The sequence below is a fragment of the Homo sapiens genome, chromosome 22, assembly GCF_000001405.40.
Source record: "Homo sapiens chromosome 22, GRCh38.p14 Primary Assembly".
Lineage (NCBI taxonomy): Eukaryota > Metazoa > Chordata > Mammalia > Primates > Hominidae > Homo > Homo sapiens.
In genome coordinates this window covers 41183218-41197717 of record NC_000022.11, presented here as the reverse complement: position 1 = coordinate 41197717, position 14500 = coordinate 41183218, and the positions used below count along the sequence as shown (strand labels likewise).

The following is a 14500-nucleotide window of genomic DNA, read 5'->3' as shown; positions in this document are numbered from 1 at the left end:
CTGCACAACGGGACTCTGCCCCACAGGGACACCGGGAAGGTCCCGACCCGAGCGCTCAGTGGGACGGGGTCGCACCAAGAGTCCGCGCGGAACTCCCGATCTGGGCGGGGCCCAAAGGTCACGTGGCCGGGAAGGCGGGCGCGCGGGCTGCGAGCACCAACCGCCGGCCGCCCCGCGCTGCGTCGCCCCGCCTCCCCCGCCCCACCCCCGTCGCCCCCAGCGCGTGCCCGCCCGGCGCCCTCTAGGGTGGAAGGCTGCGGGCGTCCTACCAGTGCCAGGACTGCCAGAGCGGGAGGAGCGCGGCGCGGGCCAGCCGGGACTGCTGGACAGCGGGGTCCAGGCTAGAGGCGAGCGAGCGGTCAGTGACGGCTGTGGAGGAGGGAGGCGCTGGGCGTCAGCGCGGGACCCGAGCCTCTGGACCACTGAGCTGGGGGGCTGGCTGAGGTGGGTCTCCCGCCCTGAGGGCGCGCCTTAGGGAGGGGACAGGGGCCGGTGGGACCCTTGCTTTGTCTCAGTCGCACTGAGGTGAGGGGGCTGCACTCGGCCGAGCAGCGAGGACCGTGCCCAGCTCAGAGAGAGCCCTCAGAGTGTCCGGGCTGGATTGCGGCCGCGGTGCGGGAGAAGTCGGAGGAGGGAGTGACAGGTGACCGGGCTGGCAGGGCAACTGCCATTATTAAGCACTCGGCCGCCCGGGTGCGGTTGCCACCTCCTCCTTCCCGAGCTGGCAGCCCAGGCCACCAGGGACACGCACCTGTCCTAAGAGGGTGTAATCTTTGAGGCAGAGGTGGGACACGAACCCGGGACGGTTTGCCCTTGGGCCACTCCCTTAGGCTGAGGGAAAAGTGTACTTAAACCAGGCTTTGAGAATTGGGCAGAGTTTGAAGCGCAGAGATCACCGAGCCCTTCGTTGGCTGTCAGGACTTTAGAAAGACGTTTGGTCTCTAAAAGACCACACTTTCCTCCTCCCCAAAAGTGGCTGGACCTGTGAACACTAATTACTCATGTGTAAGGAGTGCTTTGCAATCTGTAAAGCACTTTCCATTCCGGTGTCGTAGATAATTCGTCACAATGAACTTGCCAAGTAAGCGTTTTTTTTATTTACCTTTTTTACAGATGAAGAAATTTTGTCCCAGAGACGTTTATTAAATCAGGGAGTAGCAATAGAGCCTTACTCTTTTTTTTTTTTTTTTTTTTTGAGACGGAGTCTCACTCTGTCGCCCAGGGCCGGAGTGCAATGGCGCCATCTCGGCTCAGTGAAACCTCTGCCTCCCAGGTTCAAGCAATTCTCCTTGCCTCAGCCTCCCAAGTAGCTGGGACTACAGGCGCCAGCCACCACACCCAGCTGCTTTTTGTGTTTTTAATAGAGACGGGGGTTTCACCATGTTGGCCAGGCTGGTCTTGAACTCCTGACCTCAAGTGATCTCCCCACCTCGGCCTCCCAAAGTGTTGGGATTACAGGTGTTAGCCACCGCACCCAGTGGAGCCTTACTCTTTTTTTTTTTTTTTGAGACAGAGTTATGCTCTTGTTGCCCAGGCTGGAGTGCAATGGTGCAATCTCAGCTCACTGCAACCTCCGCCTCCCGAGTTCAAACGATTCTCGTGCCTCAGCCTCTCAAGTAGCTGGGATTACAGGCATGAGCCACCACGCCCGGCCTTTTTTTTTTTTTTTTTTTTTTTAGTAGAGACGGGGTTTCTCCGTGTTGGTCAGGCTGGCCTTGAACTCCCAACCTCAGGTGATCCGCCTTCCACGGCCTCTCAAAGTGCTGGGATTACAGGCATGAGCCACCGCGCCTGGCTGAGCCTTACTCTTATACATCAAATGTTTTCCACGATAGGAAACCACCTGGGATGACCATCAAGCCCCAAACTCAAACATCCTGTGATTTCATCATCAGAGCTCCTGGCTTAGGGCACAATTCTTGGCTGGATCTGCCTGCCACTCCCCAGCTACCAACAACCGTATCTCGGCAACACAACCACCCTGGCACAGCACTTTTAATTATTTGTTAAATGTTTCTTACTGGGTTGGGCTAAACCAACTGTGAGGAGTCCTTTAGGCAGTGTCAAAACTTGGAGACAGTTGGATGGGCTTGATTGAATTCTGAAAATTCCCCGAGTGTACTGGGGTTTCTACCCAAAGTGACGATTACTTTGAGAGTATTGGTGATAATAATTTTTTGTCCTTCCTATTGACAGGTCCACCTCCTAACAAATTATTGGAAGGAATATGAGAAAAGTAAGTAGGGATTTTGAAGTATCAGTTAAAAGACCCAAAATTGTTTATGTTTAGAATAATGGTAGTTAATTTGGTGATGTTATTTCTGGATGTATAAGGTTAATTGGCAAGTGCTTATCAAATGCATGTGTGTGTGTGTGTGTGTGTGTGTGTGTGTGTGTGTGTGTGTGTGAGATACGGAGTCTCATTCACTCTGTCAGCCAGGCTGAAGTGTGGTGGCACAATCTCAGCTCACTGCAAACTGTGCCTCCCAGGTTCAAGTGATTCTCCTGTCTCAGCCTCCTGCGTAGCTGGAGTTACAGGCGCCCGCCACCACACCAGACTAATTTTTTGTATTTTAGTAGAGACAAGGTTTCACCATGTTGGCCAGGCTGGTCTTGAACTCCTGACCTCAGGTGATCTGCTCACCTCGGCCTCCTAAAGTGCTGGGATTACAGGCGTGAGCCACCATGCCCGGCTCCCAAATGTCCGTTTTTGAGGAATGTATTTATTAATACATGCTGAGAGGTCTACACAGGTGGTAGTCCATCACCACAAACACTGACAGTATACCAAGAGATGCTATTTTTTTAAAATCCCCATAGGACTGTGAAAGGGAAGAGAAGCCGGCTGTTACCCTTTTGCCTATGATATGTGTCAGGTGCTGGGGCTAAGTGTTTTTCACTTATCCTATAGCTTGTTTATCCTCCCAACAAACTTGAAAGACAGAAGTTATTTGTTTGTTTATTTATTTTGAGGGTTTCACTGTTGTCCAGGCTAGAGTGCAGTGGTGTGATCATGGCTCACTTCAGCCTTGACTTGGGCTCAAGTGAGCCTCCTGCCTCAGCCTCCTGAGTAACTGGGACCACAGGTGCATGCCACCACGTTCAGCTAATTTTTTTTTTTTTATTTTTAAGAAATGCAGAGTCTCACTGTGTTGCTCAGGCAGGTCTCTAGACTCCTGGACTCAAGCCATCCTCCTGCCTCTGCCTCTCAAAGTGCTGAGATTACAGGTGTGAGCCACTGCGCTCAGGTTAAAGTGTAAGTCTTGCCGATGCTATATCTAAGACACATCCCAGATCTGTCCATCGCCTACTACCCCAGATGAAGTCACTTGTCATTTCTTGCCTGCAGTCCTATAATAGCTTCCTAATTTTCTGCTTCCTTTCTTGCCACCCTAAAACCTATTCTCCACACAACAGCCTGACTGATTTATTTAAAATGTAAGACAAATCATGCCACCCTTCTCTTAAAGTGCTCCCCTAGCCCCTCATTGCGCTTAAAATAATACCTAAGGCCAGGCGCAGTGCCTCACGCCTGTAATCCTAGCACTTTGGGAGGCAGAGGCAGGAGGATCACTTGAGGTCAGGAGATCACTTGAGTTGCAGTGAGCTGAGATTGCGCCACTGCACTCCAGCCTGGGAGACACAGCGAGACTCCATCTACAAAATAATAATGATAATCATCATCATCATCATCATCATCATCACCATCATCATCATCATCATCTAATTCCTTGCCTTGACCTATCAGGACCTACTGATCTGTCAACTAGTTGCTTTACAACTTCATTTTGCATCGTTTTCTTCCTCTATCATTGAATTCCAGCCTTGTTTCCCTCCCTCCCTCCCTCCCTTCCTCCCTCCCTTTTTTGAGACAGGGTCTCACTCTGTTGCCCAGGCTGGAGTGCAGTGGTGCGATCTCAGCTCACTGCAACCTCCACCTCCTGGGTTCAACTGATTCTCATGCCTCAGCCTCCCGAGTAGCTGAGATTACAGGCGTGCACCACCATGCCCGGCTCATTTTTTTGTATTCTTAGTAGAGACAGGGTTTCACCATGTTGGCCAGGCTGGTCTCTAACTCCTGACCTCAAATGATCCACCCACCTTGACCTCCCAAAGTGCTGGGATTACAGGCATGAGCCACTGCGCCCGGCTGTTACCCTTTTTTCTGTCCCTGGGATGTGCTAAGCTTGTTCTCGCCCTGGGGAGTTTGCATTCATTGTTTCTTTCCAGAATGTTATTTTCCTAGATATTTTCATGTCTGGCCCCTTGCTATTTAGGTCTCAGATTAAATGTCATCTCCGGAGCACCTAAGTGAAGTAGTTCATGAAGTTCTCTATATCTCCTTTTTAAATGTTCTTCTTTGAACTTACCATAACCTAATATTTAGTGCTAGTTTATTTTCTGCTTCCCTTCACTAGAATGAAAGCTCCTTAAATTGTAATAGCTAAAACTTAATATGCTTTTTCTTTTTCTTTCTTTTTTTTTTGAGACAGGGTCTTGCTCTGTTGCCCAGGCTGGAATATGTCAACCCCCACTTCCCGGGCTCAAGTGATCCTCCCACCTCAGCCTCCCAAGTAGCTGGGACCAGAGGTGTGCACCACCATGCCTGGCTAGTTTTTTGTATTTTTTGTAGAGACAGGGCCTTGACATGTTGCCCAGGCTGGTCTCAAACTCCTAGGCTCAGGTAATGCTTTCGCCTTGGCCTCCTAAATTGTTGGGATTACAGGTGGGAGCCCGCACCTGGCTAATGTTTAATCTTGTTAGGCATTTAGAATCGGGCCTATTACTCTAGAAGGTGGCTACTTTTATTATGCCCATTTTACAGATGAGGAGACTGAGTCTTGGTAGGTTAAGTAACTTGCACATGGTCATACAGTTAGTTAGTGGCAGAGCTGGGATTTTTTATTTTTTATATTTTGAAACGGGGTCTCACTCTATTACCCAGGCTGGAGTGCAGTGGTAAGATCATTCATTGCTCACTACAGCCTTGACCTCCAGGGCTCAAGCCATCCTCCCACCTTAGCTTCCCCACTAGCTGGGACTATGGGCATGTGCCACCATGCCCAGTTAATTTTTCTTTTTCTTTTTCTTTTTTTTTTTTGTATAGACAGTCTCACTATGTTGCCCAGGTTGCTCTTGAACTCCTGGGCTCAAGTGATCCTCTCACCTTTACCTCCCATAGTGTTGGAATTATAGGCATTAGCCAGCATGTTCAGCCCAGAGCTGGGATTTGAATCCAAGCAGACTAGCTTCAGCATCCGTGCTCTTAATCAAGCGAGAGCAGGTCCTTATCTTCTCCACCTCTGTAATCAGGCACCGTGAATGTAACATGGCATTTAGCAGGCTCTCAATAAAAACTGTGAAGTGAAAGAATGTAATCACAAGAGAAAACCAAATTATAAACAAAAACCTAGGAACTATTAGCCTTGATTTCACTTTCTCCTACTTGCAAATCTGTGAGCAAGTTCTGAATCTGAACTACTTCTCACCACAAAACACATCTCCAGTATGTCCCCTTTCTGCATCCCCACTGCTACCACCCTTGTCCAGCTCCTGAGTGGCTTGCTCCTGTGTTCTGCTACCACCACAACTCCCAACAGTTTCCCAAATCGCTGGCGGAGGGGAACTCCTCTCACTGATTGGAAATCTGCTTTCCTTATTAGGCTAAAGCAAAGAATCAAGTGTGTTATTAGGGCTGTAATGTCTATCCTGAGAGAAAATTTTTTGGCTGTCTTATACCCTAACAGCATGTCCATTTATCCCTATTACTGGTTTCAGTGGGGTCCGATTCATGTGTCATTGCCTCTCATAAAGGTGCTTCAACTGAAGTTTACTTTGTTGTTACATCACAAGACCTTTTAAGCAACAGCCAAGTGGAATGTGTGTAGACTGAACTTGGTTGTCCACTACCTCAACTGTGGTGCAGTGTGGGAATTTCTCTCATATCTCAATTCCAAAATGTAAAAAATACTTGTTATTTTTGTTCTTTTTTTTTTTTTTTTTAAAGAGACAAGGTCTCACTCTGTTGCTCAGGTTGGAGTACAGTGGTGCAATAATAGCTCATGTAACCTTGACCTCCTGGTCTCAAGTGATCCTCCTGCTTCACCCTCCCGAGTAGCTGGGACTGCAGGCCTGCACCACCAGGCTGGGCTAATTAAAAAAAAAATTTTTTTGGCTGGGTGCAGTGGCTTATGCCTGTAATCCCAGCACTTTGTGAGGCTGAGGCAGGCGGATCACCTGAGGTCAGGAATTCCAGACCAGGCTGGCCAACATGGCGAAACCCTCTCTCTACCAAAAATACAAAAAATTAGCCGGACATGGCATGTGCTGATAATCCTAGCTACTCGGGAGGCTGAGGCAGGAAAATCGCTTGAACCTGGGAGGCAGAGGTTGCAGTGAGCCGAGATCGAGCCACTGCACTCCAGCCTGGGTGACAAGGGCGAAACTTCATCTCAAAAAATAAAGAAATAAAATAAATAATAAAAGAAAAAAAATTTGTTGTAGAGATGGGGTCTCGCTGTGTTGCTCAGGCTTGTCTTGAACTTCTGAGCTCAAGTGATCCTCCCACCTCGGCCTCCCAAAGTGCTGGGATTACAGGCATGAGCCACTGTGCCCGGCCAATAGCTGATTCCGCCCCCACACCCATCTTTTGGATACAATCATATAACTGATTGTTTTGAACGCTTTCCTTCCGTGGCTAAGAAGCTAAAAGTCAAATCTGTGACCCTGTCCTTGCAGGTGTACTGGATCTGATGGCATGTATTTTGAATACTAACTTAATCCCTGTTTCAGCTTAATTTTTAAAATATAGAAGTGTAAATTGTATTTAATATTTTTGCAACATATTTTACCATTATGATTTCTATAATCATAACTTAGTTCTATATGCTCTAGAACTTCATATAAATAGAATCATGCAGCATGTACTCTTTTGAGTTCTCCTTCACACAGCATAATGTCTTTCAGATTTAGTTATGTCGATGCACATATTATAATCATTCATTTTTGCTGCTGTGCAGTATTCCATTGTACCAATTTGTTTATCCATTCATCTGTTGATGGACATTTGAGCTGTTTCCAGTTTTAGCTACGGGGAATAATCCTGCTGTAAACATCCTTTTTGTGGACAAATATTTTTATTTTCTTGAATAAATACCAGAAGTAGAATTGCTGGGACATAGGGAAAATGAATGAGTAACTATATAAGAAATGGCCAGCAGGGCGCGGTGGCTCATGCCTGTAATCCCAGCACTTTGGGAGGCTGAGGTGGGCAGATCACCTGAGGTCAGGAGTTTGGGACTAACCTGGCCAACATGGCAAAACCCCATCTCTACTAAAAATATAAAAATTAGCCCAGCATGGTGGCAGGCACCTATAATCCCAGCTACTTGGGGGGCTGAGGCAGGAGAATCGCTTGAACCCGGGAGGCGGAGGTTGCAGTGAGCCGAGATCGCGCCATTGCACTCCAGCTTGGGCAACAAGAGCGAGACTCCATCTTTTTTTCTTTTTTCTTTTTTTTTTTTTTTTTTGCCTTTGAAGAAATCGTTTTTATGGAAAACATTATTATGCCAAAAGGCACCATCTCTGAAAACACAAACTACAATCATCCTCCTGAGGCAGATTCCACTGGGACTGCATTCAACTTAGAGCAAACTGTTAAACAAACTGAGACAAAATGGGAATACAACAGCATGGGCACTGACCTGTCCCCCAAGCCCAAAAGCTTCAATTACCCATTGCTCTCGTCCCCAGGTGATCAGTTTGAAATTCAGCTAACCCAGCAGCTATGGTCCCTCATCCCCAATGAGGATGTGAGAAGGTTCATGTCTCATGTTATCTGGACCTTGAAAATGGAATGTTCAGAAACACATGTGCAAGGGACCTGTGCCAAGCTCATGTCACGAACAGGCCTCCTGATGAAGCTTCTCAGCGAGCAGCAGGAAGCAAAGGCATCCAAGGCAGAATGGTCTGTAGACCAATGGAAAACTGATGAGACTCCATCTTAAAAAAAAAAGAAAAAAAAAATGGCCAGCAGGATGCAGTGGCTCATACCTATAATCCCAGCACTTTGGGAGGCTGAGGCAGGTGGATCACCTGAGGTCAGGAGTTCGAGCCCAGTCTGGCCAACATGGTGAAACCTCATCTCTACTAAAAATACAAAAATTAGCCAGGCATGGTGGCTTGTGCCTATAGTACCAGCTACTGGGGAGGCTGAGGCAGGAGAATTGCTTGAACCTGGGAGGCACAGGTTGCAGTGAGCCGAGATCACACCACTGCATACTTCAGCCTGGGCGACAGAGCAAGACTCCATCTCAAAAAAAAAAAAAAAAAAAAAAAAAAAGGCTGGGTGCCATGGCTCACGCCTGTAATCCCAGCAATTTGGGAGGCCGAGGCGGGCAGATCACCTGAGGTCAGGAGTTCGAGACTAGCCTGACCAACATGGAGAAACCCCATCTCTACTAAAAATACAAAATTAGCCAGGCATGGTGATGCATACCTGTAATCCCAGCTACTCGGGAGGCTGAAGCAGGAAAATCGCTTGAATCTGGGAGGTGGAGGTTGCAGTGAGCTGAAATCACGCCATTGCACTCCAGCCTGGGCAACAAAAGCAAAACTTTGCCTTAAAAAAAAAAAAAAGAAATGGCCAAACTTTTTTCCAAAATAGTTTCACTATTTTTACATTCTACCAGAATTAGATGAGAGTTTCCATTGCTTTATATCATTACTAACATTTGGTATTGTCCAACATTTTGTTTTAGCCTTTTTTGTGAGTATGACTGGTGTCTCATTGTGGCATTCAAATTTATTGAGATATAATTTATATACAATAAATCCATCTTTTTTAAATCAATGAGTTTTGACAGACGTACACAGTTGTGAAAGCACCACCATCACTTCCATCACCCCAAAAAGCTCCTTTGTGCCTCTTGCCCTTTCCCAACTACTTCCCCCTCGAAACCACTGCTTTCCTTTATTGTCTTTTCTCGAAATCCATATGGGATTTACTCTTTTGCATCTGGCTTTTTTTTTTCTTTTTTTTTTTTTTTTTTGGCTAGTTATGATTACTCATTTTATTTTATTTTATTTTTGTAGAGACAAGTGTCACTATGTTGCCCAGGCTGGAGTCAAACTCCTGGTCTCAAGCGATCCTCCTGGCTCGGCCTCCCACAGTGCTGGGATTACAGGTGTGAGGCACTGCACCCAGCAAATCTGGCTCTTTTCATTTAGCATAACGCTTTCAGATTCATTCATGTTGTTTATTTGCTCTTTGTTCCTTTTGATTGCTGGGTGATAATGCATTGTTTGAATGTATCACGATTGTTTACGCTGTTAGTAGCTGTTAGGTATTCCAGTGGTTCCTATCGTTTGGCTATTTTTAATAATGCTATCAAATGCTATCAACAGTCACATGAGGGTCTTTGTGTGGACATATGTTTTTATTTCTCTTGGGTAAATATCTAGACATGAGATTGCTAAGTGGTATGTTAAATGTATTTTATTTTTGATACATATCTATATTTATTTTAATTTTTTGAGAGGGAATCTCACTCTGTCATCCAGGCTGGAGTGCACTGCTGCGATCTCGGCTCACTGCAACCTCCCTCTCCCGGGTTCAAGCGATTCTTGTGCCTCAGCCTCCCGAGTAGCTGGGACTACAGGCGAGTGCCACCATGTTGGGCTAATTTTGTATTTATAGTGCAGACGGGGTTTCGCCATGTTGGCCAGGCTGGTCTTGAACTCCTGACCTCAAATGATCCGTCCGCCTCAGACTCCCAAAGTGCTGGGATTACAGGGGTGAGCCACCGCACCTGGCCTGAATTGCTTATACTTTTGATGAACATTTGTGTATGTGTTTTTGTGTGAACATATGTTTTCAGTTCTCTTGGGTGTATACTCAGGAGAATTGCTGGGTCCTATGGTAACTCTGTTGAACTTTTTTTTTTTCTTTTTTTTTTTGAGACGGAGTCTTGCTCTGTTGCCAGGCTGGAGTGGAGTGGCACAATCTCAGCTCACTGCAACCTCCGCCTCCCGGGTTCAAGCAATTCTCTGCCTAAGTCTCCCGAGTAGCTGGGACTATAGGCGTGTGCCACCGCACCCAGCTAAAATTTTTGTATTTTTAGTAGAGATGGGGTTTCACCATGTTGGTCGGGATGGTCTCGATCTCTTGACCTCGCGATCTGCCTGCCTCGGCCTCCCAAAGTGCTGGGATTACAGGCGTGAGCCACCGCGCCCGGCCAACTCTGTTGAACTTTTTAGAGGAACTGCTAGACTGTTTTCCATTTTCCATGATCACTAGCAGTGTATGAGGGTTCTAGTTTCTCCCTATTCTAGCCAATACTTGGTATTGTCCTTTGGACTACTGCCATCTGAGTGGGTGTGAAGCAGTATCTCATTTTGGTTTGACCTGCATTTCCCTAATGACTAACGGTTTTGAGCATCTTTTGGTGTGCTTATTGGCCATTTGTATATGTTCTTTGGAGAAATATCTACTAAAATCCTTTGCCCATTTAAAAAACTATATTACTCCTTTTTTAATTGTTGAGAGTAAGTTTGTTTTTCTTTTTTTTTTTTTTTTTTTTTTTTTTTGAGGTGGAGTCTTGCTCTGTCCCCCAGGCTGGAGTGCAGTGGCGAGATCTCTGCTCATGCAAGCTCCACCTCCCGGGTTCACACCATTTTCCTGCCTCAGCCTCCTGAGTAGCTGGGACTACAGGCGCCTGCCACCACGCCTGGCTAATTTTTTGTATTTTTAATACAGACGGGTTTTCACCATGTTAGCCAGGATGGTCTCGATCTCCTGACCTCGTGATCCCAAAGTGCTGGGATTACAGGCGTGAGCCACCGTGCCTGGCCTTTTTTTTTTTTTTTTTTTTGATACTGAGTCATGCTCTTGTCACCCAGGCTGGAGTACAATGGCGCGATATTGGCTCACTGCAACCTTTGCCTCCCGGGTTTAAGCAATTCTGCTGCCTCAGTTTCCTGAGTAGCTGGGATTACAGGCACCTGCCACTGTGCCTGGCTAATTTTTTTTTTTTTTTTAGTTGAGACAGGGGTTTCACCATGTTAGCCAGGCTGGTCTCAAACTCCTGACCTCAGGTGATCTGCCCGCCTCAGCTTCCCAAAATGCTGGGATTACAGGCATGAGCCACTGTGCCCGGCCGAAATTTTTAAGTATAGTCTAGATACAGAAATATGTGATCTGCAAATATATGCTCCCATTCTGTATATCTTTTTACTTCTTTGGTCATGTCCTCTGATGCATGAAAGTTTTGAGGTCTAATTTGTTTTTTCTTTGGTTGCTTGTGCTTTTTAGGTGTTATATCTAAGAAACCATTGCCTATTCCAAGATCATGAAAATTTATAACTATATTTTCTTTTTTTTTCTTTCTTTCTTAGATGGAGTTTCACTCTTGTCACCCAGGCTGGAGTGCAATAGAGCGATCATGGCTCACTGCAACCTCTGCCCCCCGGGTTCAAGCGATTCTCCTGCCTCAGCCTCTCAAGTAGCTGGGATTACAAGTGCCCACCACCACGCCCAGCTAATTTTTGTATTTTTAGTAAAGATGGGGTTTCACCACATTGGCCAGGCTGGTCTCTAACTCCTGACCTCACGTGATTCATCCATCTCAGCCTCCCAAAGTGCTGGGATTACAGGCATGAGCCACTGTGCCTGGCCTATACTTATATTTTCTTCTGTGATTTTAATATTTTAGTGTTTATGTTTTGGTCTATGATCCATTTTGAGTAAATTTTTATATTTGGTATAAGGTAGGGGTCCAACTTTATTTATTTTTGAGATGGAGGCTTACTCTATTGCCCAGGCAGGCATGCAATGGTGCGATCCAGCTCACTGCAACCTCTGTGTCCCAGGCTCAAGTGATTCTCCCACCTCAGCCATCTGAGTAGCTCGGATTACAGGCCCCATCACTATGGTAATTTTTAAATTTTTAGTAGAGACGGGGTTTCACCATGTTGGCCAGGCTGGTCTCGAACTCATGACCTCAAGTGATCTGCCCGCCTCTGCCCTACAAAGTGCTGGGATTACAGGCGTGAGCCACCGTGCCTGGCCTCCAGCTTTATTCTTTTTTTTTTTTTTTTTTTGAGACAGAGTCTTGTTCTGTCACCCAGGCTGGAGTGCTGGAGTGCAGTGGCGCGATCTCGGCTCACTGCAAGCTCCGCCTCCTGGGTTCACGCCATTCTCCTGCCTCAGCCTCCCGAGTAGCTGGGACTACAGGCGCCTGCCACCACGCCTGGCTAATTTTTTGTATTTTTAGTAGAGATGGGGTTTCTCCATGTTAGCCAGGATGGTCTCGATCTCCTGACCTCGTGGTCTGCCTGCCTCGGCCTCCCAAAAGTGCTGGGATTACAGGCGTGAGCGACCATGCCCGGCCAACTTTATTCTTTTAGATGTGGATGTCTAGTTGTTCCAGAAGTATCTGTTAAAAATGTTACTCTTTCTCCATTGGATTATTTTGGCAACCTTATAAACAATCAATTGACCATAAATGTATGGATTTATTTCTGGATTGTCAGATCTATTCCAGTGATCTAAATGTCTGTCCTTATGCCAGTACCATAGAGTCTTGATTACTATAGCTTCATGGTAAGTTTTCAAATCAAGAAGTGTGAGTGCTCCAAATTTGTTTTTATTTTTCAAGATTATTTTGGCTGTTCTGGCTTCTTTGGATTTTCATATGTATTTTAGGGTCAGCCTTTCAGCTGGGCATGGTGGCTCACGCTTGTAATCCCAGCACTTTGGGAGGAGTTCAAGATTAGCATGACAAAATCCCATCTCTACAAAACAAAAAACAAAACAAAAGAAACATTAGCCAGGCTTGGTGGCATGTGCCTGTGGTCCCAGCTACTCAGGAAGCTGAGTAGCTTCCCGAGGCAGGAAGATCACTTGAGACCAGGAGGTGGAGGTTTCAGTGAGCTGAGATCGTGCCACTGTACTCCAGCCTGGGTAATGGAGACAGACCCTGTCTGAAAACAAAAAAATTTTTTAAATAGGCTTTTGTTTTTTATTTTATTTAATTTTTGACACAGGGTCCACTCTGTAGCTCAGGCTGGAGTGCAGTCGTGTGATCTCAGCTCCCTGCATCCTCCGCCTTTTGGGTTCAAGCAGTCCTCCCGTCTCAGCCTCCCGAGTAGCTGGGACTTACAGGCGTGTGTCACCACACCCAGCTAATTTTTGTATTTTTAGTAGAGGTGACCATATTGGCCAGGCTGGTCTTGAACTGACTTCAGGTGATCTTCCTGCCTCAGCCTCCCAAACCCAAAGTGCTGGGATTACAGGTGTGAGCCACTGTGCTCAGCCTGTTAATTTTTTTTTTTTTTTTTTTTTTGAGACGGAGTCTCACTCTGTCACCTAGGTTGGAATGCAGTGGTGCCATCTTGGCCTCACTGCAACCTCCACCTCCCAGGTCCAAGGGATTCTCCTGCCTCAGCCTCCCAAGTAGCTGGGGTTACAGGCACGTGCCACCATGCCTGGCTAATCTTTTGTATTTTTAGTAGAGATGGGGTTTCACCGTGTTAGCCAGGACGATCTCGATCTCCTGACCTCATGATCTGCCTGCCTCGGCCTCCCAAAGTGCTGGAATTACAGGCATGAGCCACTGACCCTGGCCCAGGAGTATTGCTTTAACAATATAAGGTTTTCTGATTTATAAACAAGAATGTCTTTCCATTTATTTAGGTCCTTAATTTCTTCCAACAGTCTTTTCTAGTTTTCAATGTACAAGTTTTTTGCGCTTCTGTTACATTTATTCCTGGCCGGGCACGGTGGCTCCGCCTGTAATCCCAACACTTTGGGAGGCCAAGGCAGGCGGATCACCTGAGGTCAGGAGTTTGAAACCAGACTGAACAACATGCAGAAACCCCATCTCTACTAAAAATGCAAAATTAGCTGGGCGTGGTGGTGCATGCCTGTAATTCCAGCTACTTGGGAGGCTGAGGCAAGAGAATTGCTTGAACCCGGGTGGCAGAGGTTGAGGTGAGCTGAGATCACGCCATTGCACTCCAGCGTGGGTAACGAGTGAAACGTCTCAAAAAAAAAATTATTCCTAACATTTTATTCTTCCTTTTTTTTTTTTTGAGACAGAGTCTCGCTCTGTCACCAGGCTGGAGTGCAGTGGCAAGATCTCGGTTCAAGCCATTCTCCTGCCTCAGCCTCTTGTGTAGCTGCGACTACAGGTGCATACCACCATGCCCAGCTAATTTTTGTATTTTTAGTAGAGACAGGGTTTCATCATGTTGGCCAGGATGGTCTCGATGTCTTGACCTCGTGATCTGCCTGCCTTGGCCTCCCAAAGTGCTGGGATTACAGGCATGAGCCACTGTGCCCGGCCAATTTTTTTCTTTTTGATGCCAGCCTTTGTCCTCTGTCTTTAAGTAGGATGACCTCATCATGAACATAATACTGTCTGGAGATGTTTCCTTGGTTGTAAAATGAGAAGCCTAGGGAGATTATTTTTATGCTTCCTTAGTTGTCCCCTTCCCCTCC

General features: G+C 46.5%; 1 long non-coding RNA gene and 2 pseudogenes across 1 annotated transcript, besides 3 other annotated features; 2 read left to right on the top strand and 1 right to left on the bottom strand.

The window, feature by feature from the left end:
* Positions 58-557: an enhancer, noted in NCBI's record as "H3K4me1 hESC enhancer chr22:41593165-41593664 (GRCh37/hg19 assembly coordinates)". NCBI's record gives its function as "activates a minimal SCP1, AML or CMV promoter by ChIP-STARR-seq in primed H9 embryonic stem cells {active_cell/tissue: H9 hESC(primed)}" and the evidence as "EXISTENCE:reporter gene assay evidence [ECO:0000049][PMID:30033119]".
* Positions 94-363: a silencer, noted in NCBI's record as "silent region_13780". NCBI's record gives its function as "represses an Ori minimal core promoter by ATAC-STARR-seq in GM12878 lymphoblastoid cells {active_cell/tissue: GM12878}" and the evidence as "EXISTENCE:reporter gene assay evidence [ECO:0000049][PMID:35858748]".
* On the top strand, positions 217-12504 carry EP300-AS1 (EP300 antisense RNA 1). The gene is made up of 3 exons (NR_110514.1): positions 217-444; positions 2197-2236; positions 11395-12504. It is a non-coding gene; the product is annotated as an EP300 antisense RNA 1 (long non-coding RNA).
* LOC646927 (uncharacterized) lies at positions 7512-7967 on the bottom strand (annotated as a pseudogene).
* On the top strand, positions 7530-7991 carry LRRC37A14P (leucine rich repeat containing 37 member A14, pseudogene; annotated as a pseudogene).
* Positions 12420-13219: an enhancer, noted in NCBI's record as "OCT4-NANOG-H3K27ac-H3K4me1 hESC enhancer chr22:41580503-41581302 (GRCh37/hg19 assembly coordinates)". NCBI's record gives its function as "activates a minimal SCP1, AML or CMV promoter by ChIP-STARR-seq in naive H9 embryonic stem cells {active_cell/tissue: H9 hESC(naive)}" and the evidence as "EXISTENCE:reporter gene assay evidence [ECO:0000049][PMID:30033119]".